Genomic DNA, 23,545 nt, shown 5'->3' with positions numbered 1-23,545 from the left:
AAAATTAACCCTTTTAAGTTTATTCATCTGAATTTTTAATGGCTGTATTTAAAATGGCATGATAACTAACTGGTCAGAATACCCATTTTCCATGTTGGTAACTCCTACACTTCTTTGCCATCCCTTCAGTGATGAGGAAAGAACTGTGCACACAGTTCTGGAAAATAGGAAATTGAAGAGATCAAGGTGCCAACGGATTTGGTGTCTGGTGAGAGCCCTTTCTCATATATGGTGCCTTCTATACATCTTCACATGGCTGAAGGAATGAACAAAATCCCATGGGCCTCTTTTATAGGGGCATTAATTGCATTCATGAGAAACGAGTCCTCATGACCTCATCATTTCCTAAAGGGCCCATCTCTTAATACTATCATATTGGATATTAGGTTTCAACATATGAATTTGGAGAGTCACATACATTCAGACCATGGCAGTGGGTTAGGTAGGACACAGAATATGAAGTGCTCATGGAAAACTGATCAAGCCAGGATATTTTCAAGAAAGATTTAAAAAAGGAGTATACATTAGAGTAGTATTTCGTATTGGCTCCTGAGTTCCAGAGCTCACAAGTTTAGTTTTCTGGACACTATGTTTTCTGCTTCTTTCAAATCACCAGAGTGCTCAATCTATCTTGAGAACTTAATTTTGGCAAGTTTTACCTCATATGTTAACACATTTTGACTTTACCATTTTTTTCTTTAAATGGTGGCAAAGCACATTAGATGAGCAAACCAAAATGTACTAATTGTAAAATATTTCTTCTAATAAAAATAGATGGTTATGTTACTAAAAAGAACAATTTCAGAAAAATATCAAATTATGAATTAAGACATTCCTCATTCTTATGTGAATTAAGAAATTCTTCACTGTTACACAAGTTTTCATGTTACAACCCATTTTTCTCTACATCTTGCATTCAGCTAGGTATCTAAGAGTTTAGATGATTTATGAGATGTGGCTAAGGGGAAGATCACTATATTAGCGATATCAAATAATGTCTTTCTTTAATCTAGTGAAAATGTCTGGTATAAATTTGAGGGGGTAGGGCACAGGTATTTTTGATTTTTACAACCTGTTGATCTGTGAAGAGATATAGTTTGACTTCCTCTTTCTGTTTATATACCTTTTATTTCTTTTTCTTGCTTGATTGCTCTGGCTAGTACTTCTAGTACTATGATGAATAGGAGTGGTGAGAGAGGATATCCTTGCCTTGTTCTGGTTCTGAAGAGAAATAGGTTCAAACTTTTGCCCATTCGGTATGATGTTGGTTCTGGGTTTGTCATAGATGGCTATTATTTTGAGGTATATTCCTTCAAACTTATGTTACCTAGTCTGTTGAGAGTGTTTAACAAAAAACAATGTTATATTTTATCAAAATCCTTTTATGCATCTATTCAGATGACCATGTGGTTTTTGTTTTTAGTTATATTTATGTGATGAATCACATTTATTGATTTGCATCTGTTGAACAAACCTTGTATCCCAGAAATAAAGCCTACTTCATCATGGTGGATTAGCTTTTTGATGTGCTGCTAGATTTGGTTTGCTAGTATTTTGTTGGAGATTTTTGCATTGTGTTCATCAGGAGTATTGGTTTATTGGTCTGAAGTTTTATTTTTCATTGTGTCTCTGCCAAGTTTAGGTACCAGAATGATGCTGGCTTCATAGAGTGAATTAGGGAAGTGTCCCCTCTTCCTAGATTTTTTGGCATAATTTCGGTGGGATTGGTACCAGCTCTTCTTTGTATGTCTGGTGTAATTTGGCCATGAATTCATCTGGTACAGGGCTTTTTTCTGATTGATATTGGTAGGCTTTTTGTTGCTGATTCAATTTTGAAATTAATTATTGGTCTATTAAGGATTTTGATTTCTTCGTGGTTCACTCTTGGGAGGTTTGGATGTTTCCAGGAATTTATCCAATTTTCTAGGTTTTTAGTTTGTGTGTATAGAGGTGTTCATAGTAGTCTCAGAGTTTTTTTGTATTTCTGTGAAGTCAATGGTAATGTCCCTTTTGTCATTTCTGATTGGGTTTACTTGGATTTTCTGTTTTGATTTTATACCTAGTAAACCCCGTACTTTCTGTTCACAGGGTGCTAGAAGTGATGAACAACTTCAGTAAAGCTTCAGGATACAAAATCAATGTAAAAAAATTAGTAGCATTTCTATAAACAAATGGTATCCAAGAATGCAATCCTATTCACAAGAGCCACAAAAGTAATAAAATACATAAAAATTCAGCTAACCGGAGAGGTAAAAGATCTCTACAATGAGAATTACAAAACACTGCTGAAAGAAATCAGAGATGACAGAAACAAATAGAAAAAAAACATTTCATGCTCATGGATAGGAGAAATCAACATTGTTAAAATGATCATACCACTCAAAGCAATTAACAGACTTAATGCAATTCCTATCAAATTACCAATGCCATTTTTCACAGAATTAGGCAAATATATTCTAAAATTCACAAAGAATCAAATGAGAGCCCCCAAAACCAAAGAAATCCTAATCTAAAAGAACAAAGCTGGAGGTATCACCCTATCTGACTTCAAACTATACTTCAAGGCAACAGTAACCAAAACAGCATTGTACTGGTACAAAAACAGACACATAGATCAATGGAAAAGGTTAGCGAACCCAAAAATAAAGCCACACACCTACAATCATTTGATCTTCAACAAAGTTGACAATAAGATATCATGGGAAAAGGACTCCCTATTCAATAAATGATGCTTGGATAACTGGCTAGCCATATGTAAAAGATTGAAGCTGAACCCTTTTATTATATAAAAAAAATTAACTCAAAATAGACAAAGACTTAAATGTAAAACCTAAAACTATAAAATCTCTAGAAGAAAACCTAGGGAATAACTTTCTCTACATATGCTTTGGCAAATATTTCATGATCAAGTCTCCAAATGCAATTGCAACAAACACAAAAATAGATAAATGGGACCTAACTAAACTAAAGAATCTATCTACAGAGTAAACAGATAATTTACAGAATGGGAAAAAATATTCATAAACTATGCATCCAACGATAGACTACTATCCAAAATCTACAAGGAAGTTAAATCAACATGCAAAAACAAACAATCCAATAAAAAAATGGGCAAAAGACATGAACAGACACTTCTTAAAGGAAGACATATCCCTGGCACTTCCACCAAAAACAAAACAAAACAAAACAACAACAACTAAAACACCAACAGCAAGAAAGAAGACATACACATGGCCAACAAGCATATGAAAAAATGCTCAATGTCACTAATAGAGAAATGCAAATAAAAGTCACAATGAGATACCATCTCATACCAGTCAGAAAGGCTATTATTAAAAAGTCAAAAAATAACAGCTATTGATGAGTTTGAAGAGAAAAAGAAACACTTATACACTCCTAGTGGAAATGTAAATTAGTTCAGCCACTGTGGAAAGGAGTTTGGAGGTTTCTTAAAGAACTTAAAACAAAACTACCATTAGAATGAGCAATCCCATTATTGGGTATATACCCAAAGGAAATATATCATTATATTCATTCATTATATAAAAAAGACACATGCACCCATATGTTAATCACAGCACTATTCACAATAGCAAAGACATGGAGTCAACCTGGATGCCCATCAGTGGTAAACTGGATAAAGAACATGTGGTACATATACACCATGGAATACTACACAGCCATAAAAAATAAAATCATGTGATCTGCAGCAACATGAATGGAGCTGGAGGCCATTATCCTAAGCAAATTAATGCAGGAACAGAAAACTTAATACCACATGTTCTCATTTATAAGTGGAAGCTCAACTTTGAGTTCCCATGGATGCAAAGATGAGAACAACAGACACTGGAACCTACTTGAAGGATAAGGCTAGGAGTAGGGTGAATTTTGAAAAACTACCTATTGAGTACTAAGCTCACTACCTGGGTAAGAAAATTGTTTGTATATCAAACCCCAGCAACACACAATTTATCCATGTAACAAACATACATATGTATCCCCCATACCTAAAATAAAAGTTGGAAAACACAAAGCAAAATAAAACTTGTTGGCATCTTTTAAATCACCTAGAAAGGAAATGACTACTCTGACCAAAAGAATAACTCGTAGTATTCCTTGAATATCATCTAACTTTGGATATTGTTTTAAAAAGTAGGTATTAATGTTATTAAGGTATGGTGAGGCCAACACTTCAGGAGACAATTGCCAATCAAAAGGTGGCTTATTTAAGCTCACAGACCCCCAGAAATGAGAGGGCATGACACACAATGAGGAGGGGAGTGGCACATGTGGAAGCACCAGGGTCAGTGCAGAGGCAAACGCAGCAGGGGAAAACATGGGCAATAGCCTTTATTGTGGTTTCTCCCAGAAGAAATGGGCAAGGCAGGGTAATCAATATAATGACTGGCTAGTTTGAGTAATTTCAGGGGGCTCTGAGATACAGGATTTGTCTCTAGTTATCTGGTATCTGGTCAGTGTAGGTGGATACAGGTCCATAGTGTAAGCCCTGCGAAAGCTCTAGAAAAGGGATGTTTGGGGTATGGCCTCTGGATTGATTGGTTTGCATGTGAAAGTTATGCTTGCAGCCCAGTCACTCACTACCTCTAGGAATTGGTAAGCTCTAGGAGGGGTAGTCTCTTCAGAGTGAACAAGGCCCCAGATGTCAAAACATCAGAGACAAATGGTTAATACAGATATTGAAGCTTATATCCATGTCTAGAGGAGCTTATGTCTCCTTGGACATAGTAATATATACCTAATAACTCCCAAAAGAAATATAAAATGGATTTTCCTGGGGTATGAACTGCAATAAGCAAAGCAGATGTACTGAGGAGATTTTACATTTCTTTCACTAGAAGAGAGAATTTAAAAGAGCTTTCAGATTATAGGTAGAATACCCTGGAGCCTACCAGATTGCAAATCTCTCTGCTTGGAGAAAATTGTTAAAAGGATCTTTAACCTAGGCATGATGGTAAACATATTGTGATGTCCTCAAAAAAGATCCAAATAACTTCTGACTTATATATTTGCCCCTAAAAGTTATGTCTTTTCTCTTCATGTAAAAAAAAAATGTTCATTGCAGATCTTATTTTATTATACCAAAGTTGCTTTTTAAAAATATACCATAACACCACACTGCAACTGCTTTTTAAGTTACCTTTCTTGCTGTTTACCAAATATGTTTTTTTTTCTCTGAATAATATGCAGGCGGCTTCAAGGGAAAATCTGTTAATATCCCCCAAATTTTCATTTTTTACCAGTTTCCCCAGTTCTTCAACATAGTGTGGGAAAATATATTATGACAGCTCCCATGCACCCTTCAGAGAAACACCTTGATGAAGTTAGGAGAGATCTATGAAGAATGTGGATTCACTATTAAGAATTATCTGTGGGACCTGCCAAGTTGCTGCTATCTATCCCACACATGGTCTCATTAAAAAACCCCTCAGTGCATGATTTATTGATTAGAGACCAAATATCCTGGAAAAGTCAAAAATTACTCTTTGGATGGGATTTTAAACATTCTCTCTTATATCCCACCAATGTATTATGCTTTAGATACATTTGAACCAAAAAAGAAAAACATATGAAAAAATTCTATTCTACTTTCTAGTTCATTACTAGGGTTGTTTTATTACAAGATTACATAACTGGAAAAGATTTAAACAACAGAATTTTTGTTAACCGTATATTATCAGTCATATTAAACACTAAAAACAATTTTCAAAGATGTTATTTAAAATCTAGTATTAAATTAAATACTCAAGTATTAAAATGCACTGAAATGCTTTCTAGATGTAAGAGTTAGAATGAATCAAGCCATATTTTTATTCCAAAACAGAATTTCTTTCAATTTAGAGGAAAAATATCAAAATATCAAATTTTTTTTCTTTTCTTCTCCACCTTCTCAGATTGTGGAGGATATTTCCTGAAAATACTTTAATCCAAAAAAATGTGTCATTATTCTGTGCCAGCATGGGGTATGAGAAATAAACTCTTGTTTTCCAAATAGTAAAGAAGATTGACATTAAAATAATTTCATGCAAACAGTAGGCGTATATAAGTAGAACAAATGAAACAAAATGTAGAACAGATGGGCAGATAACATGGTGTATGCAGTGAACAGGATACTTCCAAAATCTACCCTTTTAAAAGGAAAAGGTCTGAACAAGGACTTAAGTTGAGCAGAGCAAAAAACTAGAAGTAAGATAAGTATGTGAAAGTATCTTCTAGGAGCCATTTTAGTCATTCATTCATTTTCTATTTTTTTCTTTCTTTTTTTTTTTCTCCTTTTTTTCTTTTTTGAGAAGAAATCTTGCTCTGTTGCCAGGCTGGAGTGCAGTGGTGCAATCTCAGCTCACTGCAACCTCCGCTTCCTGAGTTCAAGCAATTCTCCTGCCTCAGCCTCCCAAGTAGCTGGGATTACAGGCATGCACCACCACACCCGGCTAATTTTTGTATTTTTAGTAGAGATGGGGTTCCACCATGTTGGACAGGATGGTCTTAATCTCTTGACATTGTGATCCGCCTCCCTCAGCCTCCCAAAGTGCTAGAATTACAGGCGTGAGCCACTGTGATCGGCCCATTTATTTTCTTAATTTCAAACCTTCATTAAAAAAAGTACTGATGACCTATATATGCTGGAATTGACAAAACTATGGTAAAGAAGTCACTGTTTTTTCATCATAGAATTTAAAGATTGTCCTGGGATGATGGACCCCACAGAAGTTATAACAAGAAGAGGACAAGAGTGACCATTAAGTATGAACTTCTTTAGGAGAATATAACAGGTTTGGAAGATCAAGGAATGAAGGTATGTTTCCTAGGGCAATAATATTAAGCAGAGATGTAAAAAACATGCCTGAGCAGTAGAAAGGAGAGGTGGTGGAAACTGGAAGAGAATCAGGAAAGATACTTAAGTTTTTAGATTAAATAGACACATGGCTGTTGGCTAACGCACTGAAGCAGAAAACACTGCAGGAAGAATAGTTTAGGAAAAGTTCATGAGTTCATTTTTGGACATGTTGAGTTTGGAGTGCTTGTGTGACAGCCCAGCATCCTGCCTTGCAAACTATTAGGTATATACAGTATAAAATGTATAGTGAGAAGACAGCTCTGGGTTTTGTCAGTCAGCATGAGCTAGATATGTCACAAAAACATTTCAACAAGTTAGAACAAAAAGGTTTATGTCTTGCTTTTGCTGTATGTCCATTGCAGGTAAGGAAGGGAGCTTTTTCACTCAAGTTATTATTCAGGCACCTGGACTGACTGATGCCTTCCCATGTTGTGATGTTTTTGTCTCTATTTGAGGCTTCACTGTTTACCACAGCAGGCCAAGAGAATGTGTGCAAAGGCTTATAAGCTCAAAAATGTTTCTGTCCTAAAGTGACACTTGTCACTTCCATTTACATTCCATCAGCCAAGGTAAATTATATGGCCTCTACTGATTTCTACAGGGAATTAGTAGTTTCTCATTATTATTTAGGTAGAAGAAAAGATGCAGAAATTTTGGTGAGTGCTAGTAATATCTATCACAGGATTGATGGTATTAATTTAGGTGTCTTTAAGATATGTCCTATGCAGCGGACATTCATCATTTAGTCAGTCTTCCCAAGGTAAAGGCCAGGATAGTAATATGCCAGACTCCCCTTAAAGTTTTAGGAGAAGGCATGTGACTTAGATTTCTGTAGTCAGGTGAATCCACTTGAAATTCACATTAAAAAGTTAGTGCTATGAAGAGGTGACCACTTAAAGGCGAATACACATGTCCAATACATGTAATGACAGAGGTATTTTTTTTTTCTGTGTAGGTTTGTGGGTGGGGGAGGTAGGGAGCAGAAGATCAGGCAACCAATCCTAAGAGGAATCTGTTCCAAGTGGCATGGTCATAGTATCTTTTCCAGAGTAGCCCATGTGGTGTATTGTATTGTCATTGATTTTGGGAGGGTAGCTTCAAAATCTTGCCCTCCAGTTCTTCCTTAAATGTGTATAAGTTATATAACACCGCTTTAAAATTCCATTTTCTCCTTAAATAAGCCAGAATGTTTTCCCATGTTTGCAACTAAGAACGCCGACCAATGTAATATTTGGCCTCAAGAGAGGCAATAGGCTCTCAAATAAATAGAACACTGAATAGTTTATTTAAACAGGTTGCGAATGAAGGCATTGAAGATCTAGTTAGTACAGAACTGGGAACTCTGGTGGTTAATAACATTGCATGTTAAACAGTTACTTAAATTATCCTGTAAAATGGAATGGCTATTGAAGTCAAGAGTTAAAAAAAATAAACAAACCTTGTAGCTATTGATACAGAATGAGAGGAAGTACTAAGGATTACAAAGAGGAGGAAGGCTGGTTGCTTCCAGCTGCACTGGAGAGCTTAATGACAAAAAATGGTAAGGTTAAAATTTAAAGTCTTGGCTCAAGGTGTAGTAAGAGAATCGGGATCTTACTATGTCTGTGCCAAAAGTATATTTTGTTGCAACAACAGTATTAACATAACCAAGCATCCTATCTGATGCTCTGGGTTGCTGAATTTCAACTTAAGTTGAATTCATATCTTTATCAGATTTTTAAATAACAGCATATTGAATGAAAAAGAATGAGACACCAGAATCAAAAGGGGGAAAATCTGATAGAACCCCAAACACTCATGGAGTGTCTTGCCAGCAAAACAGCACCTATTTTCCAGTCCGTTTAGGCTAGTAATGCCTTGCCTCGATATCCCTAAGATAAGTACTTTGCAAGGAAAGCAAATTTCTTGTTTGTCCCTTCTCGTTACCTCTTATTGCCTATAATTTAATAGCCAGAATCAGTCAGATATTTTAATTGGTTGCTCAGTTAGTTGACTGAAACTTATGCACAAAGGTGACCTGTGCTGAATGAATGAAAGGTGCCATAAAATCTTTTGAATTAAAGAAGATAAATTAATGAATTATTGCAAAGTTGGAGTGACTCTATTCCCTAAATGGTTCCCTGAAAAGACCCAGAAGATTAGAATGTAGATGTTAATAGATATAGCTATATTCAAGTGCAGTCAAGACTCCATCTGCCCTGGGCAACTTTCTGAGACTTGGGGATTGGCTCTCAATGAATCCTAGGCTTCTGTTGTCTCTTTTTGCCTATCTGTAAGTAATATTCACTTCATGTAACTTGTTGAGTATGAATATGTTCTGTTTCACCAGACTCAGACACGTTGGTGACCAGAAAATAATGAAATTGCTTCACACAGGGCCCTGCCATTTTGAAGTTTCAGAATATCCTGTAATATAGAACAATATAGAATATACTATTGAAAGTGAAAGGCCAAGTTGCTGTACTTTGCTCCATAAGTCACAAAGAAAGAGGTACAGTGGATTTCTTTGGATATTGGAGAAAATTATCACTACAGTTCAGTTGGATACTCTGATTGATTTGGCTAGTGATGCAAAAGCACGACTTTTTTTTTTTTTTAAATGGAGTCTTGCTCTGTCACCTAGGCTGGAGTGCAGTGGCACAATCTTGGCTCACTGCAACCTCTGCCTCTCAGGTTCCAGCGATTCTCCTGCCTCAGCTTCCCAAGTAGCTGGGACTACAGGCGCATGCCACCACGCCTGGCTAATTTTTCATATTTTTAGTAGAGACGGGGTTTCACCATGTTAGCCAAGCTGGTCTTGGTCTCCTCACCTCGTGATCCACCTACCTCGGCCTCCCAAGATGCTGGGATTACAGGCGTGAGCCACCGCGCCTGGCCAAAAGCATGACATTTTTAAATGTCTGCTTAGCAAGAGAAAATCTTTAGGCTGGACAACACTCCATGAAAGCAATTCTGCAATGTGCTTTATAACAGTAAATCCAATCATTTCCAAAGTATCTGTCGCAGAAGACAATACTGTATAAAGCCCGTGTCGAGCCTTAATAGGAGAGTCATGCTGTAGGTACCTAATGTTTTAAGGCAAAGTTCATGGCAAGTAACTATTGTTTTGATTAAAAGTTTGTGTTTTTTTTTTTTTTTTTTTTTTTTTGGCAGAAACGATCTGCTAGGAGTCACTAAACAACTGATGATAGAGCACCAAATGACCTGAGCTTATGCTCATGGACTTGGTGTTACCTAATACTCCAAGCTATACAATTGGTTGGGTCCAGAAATGATCCATCCATTAGAAATGTTATAAATACAGGTTTGACCTCAAGCAGGTCCTGAAGTACAAGTAGCATGAGCAGATATTTCTGTCAAGGATAACAAAACCAGACACTAAAGTGTTAAGGACAAATTTTAATTAGTGATAACTTATTGCAATAGGGAAGAGGGTCCAGTATGAACAGAATTCAATTTCAACTGTCATGAAATTCACTGGTCCTACCACAGATACTGTGATTGATAAAACTCCCCCTTTTTGAGATCATGAAGATATACTTGTTTATGGATAGTCACATTAGGATAGGTGTGAGCATTTTGCTATTTGGAGGATTAAATTTAGCAGAAGTATATACATTAATGTCAGGCAGCTAACATTAGCTGTAGAGGTGGACCTGTGCCATTTCTTGTCACCTAATATTTTGGAGAATTCTATTTTCTATAATCTTTCAAACTATGAGTCCTGTTTTTCCTGACTAGAATTCAGAAAACTCACATTTGTAGGTTGCTTACAGTTTTAATAAGAACAGATATATGACCTAAGTTCCAACAATCAGATATGACTTTAAGAGACATGAATGCATAAACAAGACAAGCAAGAAACCTGTTCTATATGGGGGGAAAGAATAGTGGTAGAAGCCTCCCGTTCTTCAGAGGCGGCAGTAATATTTTCACTAGCACATTTTCCCAGCATAAGCACTGTTTCTGTAATTAGCCTTTAGCCTGGCTCTGAGTCTCCTTGAGATTTTGTAAGCTTTCTAATAGTCTGAATAAATTCATTTTCTGTGTAAGTTGGTCTGCATACAGTTGTTTGCACCTGGGTACTGTGACCCATACAGTAAAATTATGGTCACCGAAACCACAAGAATAAATCATTTCACATTGGAATAGAGCATATAAAGCTAAAGAAGGCCTGAGAACACACTCCTGAGAAACTTTACAGTGAATCGTGTGAAGTAGGTGAAGTTAACAAGAGATAAGGATAAAGAGATGTCAGAGAGGCAGGGAAACAATACAGGGTGCATGGATCATGGTATCCAAAATTCAGAGTGTTTCAAGAGGAGAGTGATCAAACTGTTGAATGCTCCCAAATGAGCAATAAGTGAGTAATAATAATATTTGTGATATTTACCTGATTATCTAATTTCATCATCACAAGAACCCTATCAGAAAGCTAATAATTGTTGCCATGAATTAGGAAGAATTGGGATGGCAGGGAAATAATAGTAGACATTGTAGATAACTATTTAATTGTGATGAGAAAAAGAATGTTAGTTGGAGAAAGATAAGGGATTCAGGAAGGTTTGTTTGGGGTATGGAAAGTTAGGGAAATTTAAAGATAAAGAACAGAGGCATATCAGCCATGTTTCTTGTGAACATAAGAGAATACATGATCCAAAACACAGATACTTCAACGAGTATTGTAAACTTGGTAAAGAAGAGAAAATGATGGCAGATGGTAAGGTTTATGTTTGCTAGCAGGAAGTTAAGAGAATTCCTGTTTGTCCTAATTTCTATGTAAAGTACAGGACAAGGTTATCTGCCAAGAGAGGAAATGAGAGGTTATAGGTCTGAGGAAATAAATGGTTTGAGAGAGATCTTATAGAAATGAGAGTGCAGTAATTAGAAGAACACAAGAGTTTCAGTGTTATGGCTAAATTAGGTCTTCCTATGTGATTTTCTCAAGGAAAGCTCATCAAATGTGTTTAGGGTACAAATGACCAATCACTGCAATCACTACCCTTATCCTGAGTTGGGGAACTGGAAACATAAGATAAAAATACTTGCCACTGTCTTTGTCAGTGGAATGTAGACATACAGACACTATGATAAAAACCAGAGAGAATAATGTGGTCAAGGGGAAGGGGGTGATTGACCTTAATGTGGGACTGTTTCATACAGATGGTGCCCCTTAATTGAGTAAATGGAAGACTTGGGGACTGGGTGTATGTGAGGTGCAGAAGTACTCAGGACAAAAGCAATGCCCTCTGAAAATGTCTTGGTTTTGATAATCTACTCTCTATGTATTCTAAAGAACGTAGGGAAACAGCTCATACATGTTTCTCACGAAATATTAACCTTGGGTTGTAAACTCAATTCAATTCATTTAGGTATCTTGTATTACCATCTTGTCAGTAATACCTGGATCACCTGGAGAGTCTAGGCAGAATTACTCAAGACATTGCAGATACATTCAGGTATCTAATAATATCAAGCAATAACTAGCACCTTGATATAATTAACAATAACATTTTACTGTGCTGGTAGGGCCTTAGGCAGATATAGACATCAATTGAATAGACAAATCAGTAAACCAGTATATACATTTAGATGGTTGAAAACAAGACAAAAAAAGAAACAAACAAACAAAGACATTTCTGAGAACATTCTGGGATTTTACTTTCCAATGGTAGGATAGTGCTGAGCTTATCAGTTACTTTTATATGATGTTTCTTATGATCTACAAACAGTATGACAAGGGGTATCAGTTATGGTGTCTGGAAAGTAGTCTCTAAGGTGACTGACATAACACAGGAAAAGTAAAATAATCTTCTATAGATAGCAAGTTAAATTTGCTAAACTGGAGGCTGAGAATTTAAGTTTGAGTATTTCTATCTTGTTTCTTATATATCCTATATTTTCCCACTTTTTTGAGCAGCAAGAATAGATCACTTTCATTGTTACTGTTTAGGGAATACTTATGAGTGTGTTATCAGAAAGTTGATACACTTTAAATGTAAAATGTTAGAAGATTTGTAGGGTTTCCAAATATCTGATTGCATGTTGGTTAATATTTCTTCCCAAGGAGAAAGCAATACCTAATTTAAAATAGAAGTTATAATAGAATTAATGTTTGCTTTATAAAAGTGCTTCAAAGCTATTCTGTATTAACTGAAGGATATATTTATTTATCCCCAATTAGCTCCCACGTGAGGTTCTGATGGAAGGTAATTTTGCCTATGTATGCTTAAACAAATTATTTGCTCACTTATTTCAGATTACATAGGGTAATAATGGCTATGACCACTTCAAAGGCCAGCTAGTGACCCTGAACTGTGGCCAAAGTATCTGAGTTGCCTATTTCTTAATATAAATTATTGAATAAGACAATTATACTTAATGCAAATCAGGCTTAGCCTAATGCACAATTGCAAATGGTAAAGAATTGAGTCCAGTATCTTTTCACAAAAAATAGCCTTGTATGTTGCTTTTTATGTTTTGTTTTTGTTCTGCAGATGCAGAATTGGATTAATCATGATTCTTGGGTCATGATACACTTTCATTGTTGGTCCATTCATAGTATTCTCTCCTCCCTTTCTCCCTTCTTTCTCTCCTTCCTTCCATTCTTTATTACGTGTATTAGTTTTCTTTTTATAGTGAAACAATCATGTACAAATCCAAAACAAAACTTAGGAAATCTTACACAATAACTTACACCTAATATATGGTTGATCTTGGCTAACCTGTTCCCCTGCCTTCTGCTAACTTGTTAACATTATCCTGAAACATCCCATGCCTTCCTACATGTCTCTTTTATAGAGCTTATCACATGTATATGCATCCACAGACATATATTTTCATTTTTATTATTTTTAATTCTATAAAATGGGTTGCATATTGTATGTAATCTTTTTTTTTCACTTTTGAACCATATTGCTATATATCACTGTAATTTAACTACTGGATAGTATTTCATCTGATAAAAGTAATACAGTTTACTCAGCCCTCTAATTCATGAGCATTAAAGAGTTTGGTATTACAAACAGTGATGGAATATTCTTTAATTAATAAATGTTCCCTCTTGTACTTATGGAGGAGATTCTTCTGGGTATCTACTTAGGAAGGCAATTACTATACTATAGGGGACATCTACATTTGCTATGGATATTTATCCAGCTTTAGTAGTCATTATTTAAAACTAAATTAAGAAAGGAAAACGAATAGGAAGTCTTTTTTCTTCAATGACATTTCAAAAGTAACATGATCTATTTTTGACTTGAAAGAGTTCAACAGTAAATAATGTAGAAAAATTACTTATAAATGGGTGTGCTTGTACCTTGAGAAGCTCATTTTGTCATAATGTCTTTCATTTCCTTATACTCATTGAGATTAATTGTAAATAAAATGTCATACTGACACAGTTATAACCCTATACTTGGCAGGTATATGATACCACAAGGAGATGAATAAAGGTCGATTTTATATGGAAATATTGAAAATGTTTTCTCCATTATAAAGAACAACTTTCAGGGAAGATGACGTCTATATTCATAGATCTATCACTTCATGCCTTATTAACTTTTATTAATTTGTTAGATTTTCAGTATTTCCTGCAATGTGGCATACTGCTTTTGTATTATCTCTACCCACTTTAACACATTCACAATTACTACGATGCCAGTAATTTTATTTCCAAAACTGAAATTGGTGAAAGTCAAATCATGTTGCATCCCCTGGAAGCAGGGATCAAGACTAACTCTTTATTATGTAATTGTCTATTCAGTGTATCCTGCTTGTAAACACTGCGTCTACAATATGTTTTGTAACATTCTAATGAATTTTTCATATTTCCTCTGAATAGCAGGTTGACTTGATGATAGTCCTCAGACTATTAATAAATTCTGCCATCATTCTGCCATAATTGATCCCATTTACTGCTATGTTTCCTTTGCCCCATTTTGAGGAGAAAATATAGATAAATTTGCATATAATCCCTCTGAATACACAAAATTTGCTATGAATTACTCTCTGTATTGTTCAGCAAAAGTATCCATGAGCAGATAAAGGCTTATCTGTTTTTTGAGTGATTAAAGGTTTGAAGCAGACACAGTAAACAGTAACTGTTGAAAGTGAAGCAAAAGTAAACTAAGCTCTCATTTCTTATTCTTATGTTCATATCCTGAGGCTCTTCCCCATTTTCGTAACTTCCCTTTCTCTTGAGTTGGAAAAAAAGATGGGGGCCTAATAGGGTTCCAGATTTGTAGAATAGTGGAGCAATCAGTATTGGACTGCATCAGCTGTCTGGTTCTTCTTTCTTACTACGAAATGCACCTCATAGGAAATGATAATTGAAAGCACAGCATCATTCATTCATTCATTTATCCAATAGTCAATCAAAACTATACATAAATATATAAAACCTAAATCCTTCTTTCCACTGTGTCTGAGCAATACACATAACCTCAAGACATTCTTTTCTCTAAACATTATTTTATTTTAGATACTAAAGGAAAAGACATACATGACAACTTTGTCACCTACAGGCTGTGCAACACTTGATGCAGTTCTTCAGTAACCTAGTTAAAAACTATAACAAGTTATGGTTGTCAAGGGTGGAAAAGGTTTGAAATTTCTATTATCAGTCTACATATTACAAATGAGTTGAGACACCCAAGTTCATCTGTAAGGAGGGTAACTAAAAATGGAATATATTTTTTTCACAAAAATAATTTTATACATAGTGATGAGGTTTTTCATCAGGACATAAAGTCAGCTTAATTCATGATGAACTTAATGTACCTTGTAGTGTTATTTGATTTATGACTACCCACAATTGGCAACATTTTTTTCCTAAAGAAAAAATATTTTCTAAATTTCAATTCATTCTTCACCTAGGCAACAGCATCTAGAAACAAGATAACTACAAGAGAGAATACATCTGCCTATGTGACTAGATTTGCAGATTTGTATTCAGTTATGGTCCCTGTGAAGGAAAGGAAAGGAGAGTTGCCTGGACTGGAAGTCATCAAGGGTGCTTCAAACTTATATTCACTCACCTACTTGGGTGCAAATCATTCACAATTTGGAAAATTGTTCCCCATTGCAAAATATGCTTCATCTTTTCTAACTCCCATGTGTGACAGAGAATGAGGAAACTAATAGTAAGTTTAGAAATTAATACAGCAATGCAGTCAACAACTATTGATCATTTACTATGTTCCAGAAACATAGCACAAACCTACGCTAAACATCAAGATTTAAGTTTTGAAATACTCTTCCAGTGGCGGGTGCGGTGGCTCACACCTGTATAATCCCAGCACTTTGGGAGGCCGAGGTGGGCAGATCATGAGGTCGAGATAGAGACCATCCTGGCTAACAAGGTGAAAACCTGTCTCTATGTGTAAAAATACAAAAAATTAGCCATGCATGTTGGCGCACGCCTGTAATCCCAGCTACCCTGAAGGCTGAGGCAGGAGAATTGCTTGAACCTGGGAGACAGAGGTTGCAGTGAGCCTAGATCACACCACTGCACTCCAGCCTGGGCAACAGAGCAAGACTCCGTCTCAAAAAAAAAAAAAAAAAAAAAGTTTCCAAAATGTTCAAAGTGTAGTGGCCAATATCAAATTTACACATATTAATTTTATTTAAAAAGTAGTTGTAGTTCAACCAATCAACTGTGTGAGTCAAGCTTACTGTTTCATCTTTCCGACATTGTTTTATCATCTATAAAATGAGGATAAATGAACTTGAAGGGTTTTTCAGTTGAAAAATTGAGTGGACTGCCAATGAAATTGTCAATAAATGAAATCACATGGTCCAAGGGCTGTGCAGAATTCAAATTCAGTTCAGGCAGGTCAGATTGGGAGATGGTGGGTGTGTGGTAGCTTATGCTTCAAAGAACAGTGGACTTTAGTGCAAAGTAACTAAAAAAGTTATAGTTCACATGAGGCCTATGTTGACTGATGCAGTATTAGCTAGTGGCTGGAGTATCATTGGATGCTGAGAGAACTGAAGAATAAAATACTGCAAGCATGTTCTAGCTATGTTCTGGAAGGCACTCATAGGAACAAAGAAGGGTAATAGGACAGTAGTTCTATAGGTATATTAGTTAGGGATCAGTGGGTCTAAGCTACAGAAACTGTCTTTGGTTAACATAAGCAGACAAGTTATAGCTTTGCTTAAAGAACAACTGTGGTAGCTCATAGATTCAACTGGAAAGCTGGAAGATCATATTTGGAAAAAGGCAAGAAGCAGGTAGCTCTGAGGGCTTAGCAGCAAGAACTACTCAACAATTTCATCATCAGTGTGTTGCCATCATAAAGGATGACCTACAACTGATTTCAGTGATTCTGCACAGGATTGACATTCCAGAGAAGGAGTTTCCAAATGGCCTAGCAAATATGTGAACACTTCTCAACTAGAAAAAAACAGCATCTTGATTTTTCAGCCTTAAAGAAGACTGTGCATAATCGGCAAGAAAATTCACAAAAGGAAATTAGGATGTTATTTCCAAATCCACTATCCTTAGCCAGAGCAAGGGCCAGGATCCATATTCATGGAGAATTGGAATGGTAACAAGGAGCTAGGGCAGGAAGCCTGGGCATATGAACCTTGCACAAAGAATTGTCACCTAGGCTGTAGGCACCTGAATTCTATTCCATGGCTCCCTCACTGGTAGGAAAGAGGTCTCCTAAATATACCACTGGTTCCAGATCTCGCCAACTGAAAATCTCTGAAGGACTGATTCATCTCTGGCATACTAACAAGTTAAGTGTATAATTAAGCACTTTCCACAGTTTCAAGCACACAGAAATTATGAGTAACATTAATATTAATGTTGATATAACATTATTATAACATAATCATCGTAGTTGCCATTAAACATAGGTTGAATGAGAAGAGATTCAGGGAAAGAAACTATTTCAGTATGGTTTGGCTTTAAGTCCACTTAGAATTCAGGCAGAATACTTGGAATAGGAGAAGATATGAATACATAAAATTTAATACTGTCTCTGACACTATCTATCTCTGTGACTCTGGACACGTCACTGAACCTCTCTGCACCTGCTTCTTCCTATGTAAAATGGAATTAATAGGAATAGTAATACTACCTATTGTATAGGGTCGTTATTAGAACTGAATGAGATAACACATGAAAAGTGCTTGGGACAGTGCCTGATACATAATAAACATCATATAAGTGTTATCTCCTTTTCTTAGTATCATTATTATTACTTTAGAGTTCACAAAGTGCTTTTCACATATATTAACTTCATTCATGCAAAAACAATTCTGTGGTGAAGGTATTCTTCTTTAAAATTTTAACAATAAAAAAGATATTTTATTTTTATGATATGGATAGTGATACTCTCATCTTTTAACTGTGAGTCTATTCTACTAGACCTTATAGATATATACAAAATTATATCACTGAAGGACCTCCATGGAGACAGAAAAAAGACAAAACTCCCCAATTCTGGGTAATAACATTTAATAATAATTGATAGTTACATTTAACATTTAATAATAATTGGTAGTTATATTTCACGATTTTAGTGATGTATACATAAGTGATTCTAGCAGAAATACAGATAGTCTTTGTTCTTTAACTTTATGAATAAAAAACAGATGCTTTTATAATGCGAAAATAAGAATATTAAATGACTTGTCCTAAGTCACAAGATTACTTGGCCAACGATGGTCCTCTACCCTCTTTCCTCCCATCTCCACCCACAACCCCACACCTCCCCACTTCTACTTGTATCTTCTGCAAAATGGTCTCTCTGGGCTTCATTGCTATTTTAATATGGCAAGAAACAGAAAGGCCTATTTTCAAATGAAACTTTAATATAGTGCTGATTGACAAGGCACAGAGCAAGTAATAGTCCTTACATCTTTTCCCCATACCTAAGAAAAATGAGTAAACAATATTTGTCCAAATAAAGTTTTTTTGGGGGGAAAATATCACAGAGATGTTTCTAATTATTTAAATTTTATATATTTTCTCTCGTGATGTAAAAAGTTATAAAGACATTTTCTTTCTAACTTCATAAGATGGTTCAGAAATGTCAAACACTGTCAACAGGATCATACTGATTAATGCTTATCCTGAAATAGAGATTTTTTTCTTCTCCTTTATGACAAAAAGTATAATTTTGAAGCTAGTGTAAACTATGCTTCAAATGTATTATTTATTTTCACTTCTAAGTCTTAGGAATTAACTCTAATCCATGTATGGATGTCTGATCTTGATCCTTATGTTTTGAAAGATTTAACGCACTTTATCCTCAGAAAGTGTTACTCAGACTGACTTACAAAGCAATCAGATAGCAAAGTAGAATTTACGTCTATTTCTTTTAAATAAATGCCACCAATTTGGCCATCTCTAACATCTTACTGCACTTCTTTTATTCTTCCAAATATAAAGGAATATTTCAATATCAAATTTTACTTAATATAATGTAAATTTCCCACCACTATAATTATCATAAGCACATGCTGCATATGTCTAAAAAGAACACTTTAAGAAGTGTGCAAACTGGAGTTCTGCTGTCAGGATAACTTTATGCTCTACACTCAGTTTCTACTTCTGCAGTTAGGAACATGACAGCTGTTTGTATCTGAGTGCCAAGAATGTGGAGTACATGTTGACTCAGTTGCTTGCTGCCTATCTAAATCTTGGTTTTGATTTTTTTTCTAGCTTTCACCTTGGGCAAATTACTTAAATGCCCTGTGCTTGCTTTTCACCTAATTGGAGATAATCAGTATACTTACCTCATAGGGTTGTTAGAAGGATTAAACAAAATAATAAAGAACAAGTATGGAGTGCCTAGCACATGTCAGAAAGGCTAAATAAATGCTGGGTACTATCTGCCTTACTAAAGTGATGGTGCAAAGCCATATGGATTATGGTACGTGATTTTCTTTTAAATAGAATCTCTGGAATAGAATTCTATTTAAAAGGGATTCACCACATGAGCCACGATTATACAAGCCTTAGAAATTATTTTTTGAAGTCTTCACTTGGGAATAGTATCAGCATATTAATTTGGAGTTGGAGACATCTTCACATTTCTATAACATTTCTTCTAGCTTTTTTTTCCATTTTGCACTTGGAATGGCTGTGTTTGCTTCGCCTGGTCTCTTATGTTCTCTTCTATTAATAGGTTTTATCAAGTTGCAAGATAAAATGCCTAGTCAGCTATGGCAAACTCCACTTCTTAGTCCTGAGCCATGGTGGAAGGGGACATGCTATTTTTTCTTCTTCTTTTTTTTTTTTTTTTTTTTTAAACAGACAAGTTTTTTCTCTGTCACCTAGGCTCACCTCAAACTCCTGGCCTCAAGCGAGCATCCTACCTTAGCTTCCCAAAGTGCTAGGATTAGAGGTGTGAGCTACCGTGCCTGGCTACCCTCCTCATTTTAAAGGTTCATGTCACTCTTTGCAGTGGACTGGCTCTGGAACTATCCTAAAGAGAAATGTCATGCCACGAGATCCCAGGGTGTATTCCATGTCCTCAATGCCGGATAGAACAAAAAGGCACCAACGGTCGTGTTACTGCTTGTGGTGGCTCCCCTTAAAAACTCCAGGTAAAATATAGGAAATATTTTCTTTTTCAAACTTCAGAATTCGTTTCAAGAGGTTTGGATCTCTTTTTAGAAAATGTGGAATTTGAGTGTGTGTTTGAGAGAGAAATAAGAACAAATGCTGGTTTAAGTGTCTGGCATTTCCAGTGTTCCTGAAATGATTACTTATTCATGAAAATATCTTCTTAGTTAAGTTGTTAAAGCTAACAGCAGAGATTGTTCTGTTCCCTCCTCATGTGTCAGGGGCGCTGTCCTTAGGCAACTCTGGAGCTCACAGTAACATAGGAAAGACCCAAAGTGGTAGAATCAAATTAAGCAGCAAAGTTGAACCAAATTAAGCACTGTTTATTAATTATTTATAGCTCACCATATTCTAGAAGGATTCATGGCAGCTACAATTCCATCTCTAGGGTTGAGAAATAGAATAATATGTTTATAATTCAGTTATATTTACTACATGTATTAAACAGATCTCCTGGAATAAAAGGAATATTCTGATATTACTTGGGGCAGCTAATAAGAGGAAAGTAACACCATGTGTGCATCTCTCTGCACATTCATTGCTCTATCCCAGGACAAATGCAAAAAGCTATAGTTAATTTGATCTAAACCCAGATTATAATAATTTTTAAAGTACTACTATGGGGAATAAAGATATATTTTAGTAAGAGAGCTAAAAGCTAAGTATTAAAATGCTATTTTTTAAGTGCTATTAAGGTTAATCTGTTCATAAATATGCTACTTCAGTGAACCTGGAATAATCTGGTTTCCAAAAAATCTTCCTTCGGAATTTTAAGGCACATATAAGGAAACCTAAAAAAAATCAATACTATGGGATGACTAAATTTCTACTTTCTGAATAATTTTATAAGTATTAAACCTTCCTAATCAGTAAAAACAATATTAGTGCTTCTCAAACATTGGTGGACATCAGAATCACCTGGAAGACTTGATAAAACACAGATTACTGAACCACAACCCCGGTGTTTCTGATCCTGTAGTAGGTCTGGGGTGAAGGCTTAAAATTTTTATTTCTTTTTTATATCTTTTTTTTAAATTATACTTTAAGTTTTAGGGTACATGTGCACAACGTGCAGGTTTGTTCCGTATGTATACATGTGCCATGTTGGTGTGCTGCACCCATTAACTCATCATTTAACATTAGGTGTATCTCCTAATGCTATCCCTCCCCCTCCCACACCCCACAATAGGCCCCGGTGTGTGATGTTCCCCTTCCTGTGTCCATGTGTTCTCATTGTTCAATTCCCACCTATGAGTGAGAACATGCGGTGTTTGGTTTTTTGTCCTTGTGATAGTTTGCTGAGAATGATGGTTTCCAGCTTCATCCATGTCCCTACAAAAGACATGAACTCATCATTTTTTATGGTTGCATAGTATTCCATGGTGTATATGTGCCACATTTTCTTAATCCAATCTATCATTGTTGGACATTTGGCTTGGTTCCAAGTCTTTGCTATTGTGAATAGTGCCACAATAAACATAGGTGTGCATTTGTCCTTATAGCAGCATGATTTATAATCCTTTGGGTATATACCCAGTAATGGGATGGCTGGGTCAAATGGTATTTCTAGTTCTAGATCCCTGAGGAATCGCCACACTGACTTCCACAATGGTTGAACTAGTTTACAGTCCCACCAACAGTGTAAAAGTGTTCCTATTTCTCCACATCCTCTCCAACACCTGTTGTTTCCTGACTTTTTAATGATTGTCATTCTAACTGGTGTGAGATGGTATCTCATTGTGGTTTTGATTTGCATTTCTCTGATGGCCAGTGATGATGAGCATTTTTTCATTTGTCTTTTGGCTGCATAAATGTCTTCTTTTGAGAAGTGTCTGTTCATATCCTTCACTCACTTGTTGATGGGGTTGTTTTTTTCTTGTAAATTTGTTAGAGTTCTTTGTAGATTCTGGATATTAGCCCTTTGTCAGATGAGTAGGTTGCAAAAATTTTCTCCCATTCTGTAGGTTGCCTGTTCACTCTGATGGTAGTTTCTTTTGCTGTGCAGAAGCTCTTTAGTTTAATTAGATCCCATTTGTCAATTTTGGCTTTTGTTGCCATTGCTTTTGGTGTTTTAGACATGAAGTCCTTGCCCATGCCTATGTCCCGAATGGTATTGCCTAGGTTTTCTTCTAGGGTTTTTATGGTTTTAGGTCTAACATGTAAGTCTTTAATCCGTCTTGAATTAATTTTTGTATAAGGTGTAAGGAAGGGATCCAGTTTCAGCTTTCTACATATGGCTAGCCAGTTTTCCCAGCACCATTTATTAAATAGGGAATCGTTTCCCCATTTCTTGTTTTTGTCAGGTTGTTCAAAGGTCAGATGGTTGTAGATATGTGGCATTATTTCTGAGGGCTCTGTTTTGTTCCATTGGTCTATATCTCTGTTTTGGTACCAGTACCATGCTGTTTTGGTTACTGTAGGCTTGTAGTATAGTTTGAAGTCAGGTAGCGTCATGCCTCCAGCTTTGTTCTTTTGGCTTAGGATTGACTTGGCAATGTGGGCTCTTTTTTGGTTCCATATGAACTTTAAAGTAGTTTTTTCCAGTTCTGTGAAGAAAGTCATTGGTAGCTTGATGGGGATGGCATTGGATCTATAAATTACCTCAAGGAGAACTACAAACCACTGCTCAATGAAATAAAAGAGGATACAAACAAATGGAAGAACATTCCATGTTCATGGGTAGGAAGAATCAATATCGTGAAAATGGCCATACTGCCTAAAATTTTTTATTTCTTACACATTTCCAAGTGATGCTAATATGGCTGGGTTGGGGACCGCATTTGAGGACCGCTGTTTTATATATGGTCAGAGACAACTAAGGTTAATTAATGTTATCACCTGGAAATCTTGCTGCTTCAGTGGACTGACTAAACATTTACATAAACACAACTGCTGACAGAAATACAACAAAAGTTCACCAACAATTTAAGCAGTTAGAGCAAAATTTAGATTAAAATATCAGAAGAAAATACTACAAATATAGGGTAAATGCCTATGAAATATATAATTGAATTATTTAAATGTCTTAAATGTTAGAACATTATTTTCAGAAGCTTTGCTTCCTATTAGGAATAGATCCTTAAAATTCCTTTCATATTAAA

At 35.7% G+C, this 23,545-nt stretch overlaps 1 long non-coding RNA gene across 1 annotated transcript in view; it reads left to right on the top strand.

Annotated features, from left to right (window-relative positions):
* LOC105377865 (uncharacterized) overlaps nucleotides 1-23,545 on the top strand; it is a 374,941-nt gene that overhangs the window by 350,210 nt on the left and 1,186 nt on the right. Inside the window, exons 4-5 of the long non-coding RNA XR_002956359.2 lie at nucleotides 6,691-6,814; nucleotides 20,284-20,425. This is a non-coding gene — a long non-coding RNA (uncharacterized LOC105377865). The remainder of the gene's footprint in view (nucleotides 1-6,690; nucleotides 6,815-20,283; nucleotides 20,426-23,545) is intronic.

The sequence above is a fragment of the Homo sapiens genome, chromosome 6, assembly GCF_000001405.40.
Source record: "Homo sapiens chromosome 6, GRCh38.p14 Primary Assembly".
Classification (NCBI taxonomy): domain Eukaryota; kingdom Metazoa; phylum Chordata; class Mammalia; order Primates; family Hominidae; genus Homo; species Homo sapiens.
The sequence above is the reverse complement of the archived record's forward strand: the minus strand, read 5'-3'. Positions and strand labels throughout refer to the sequence as shown.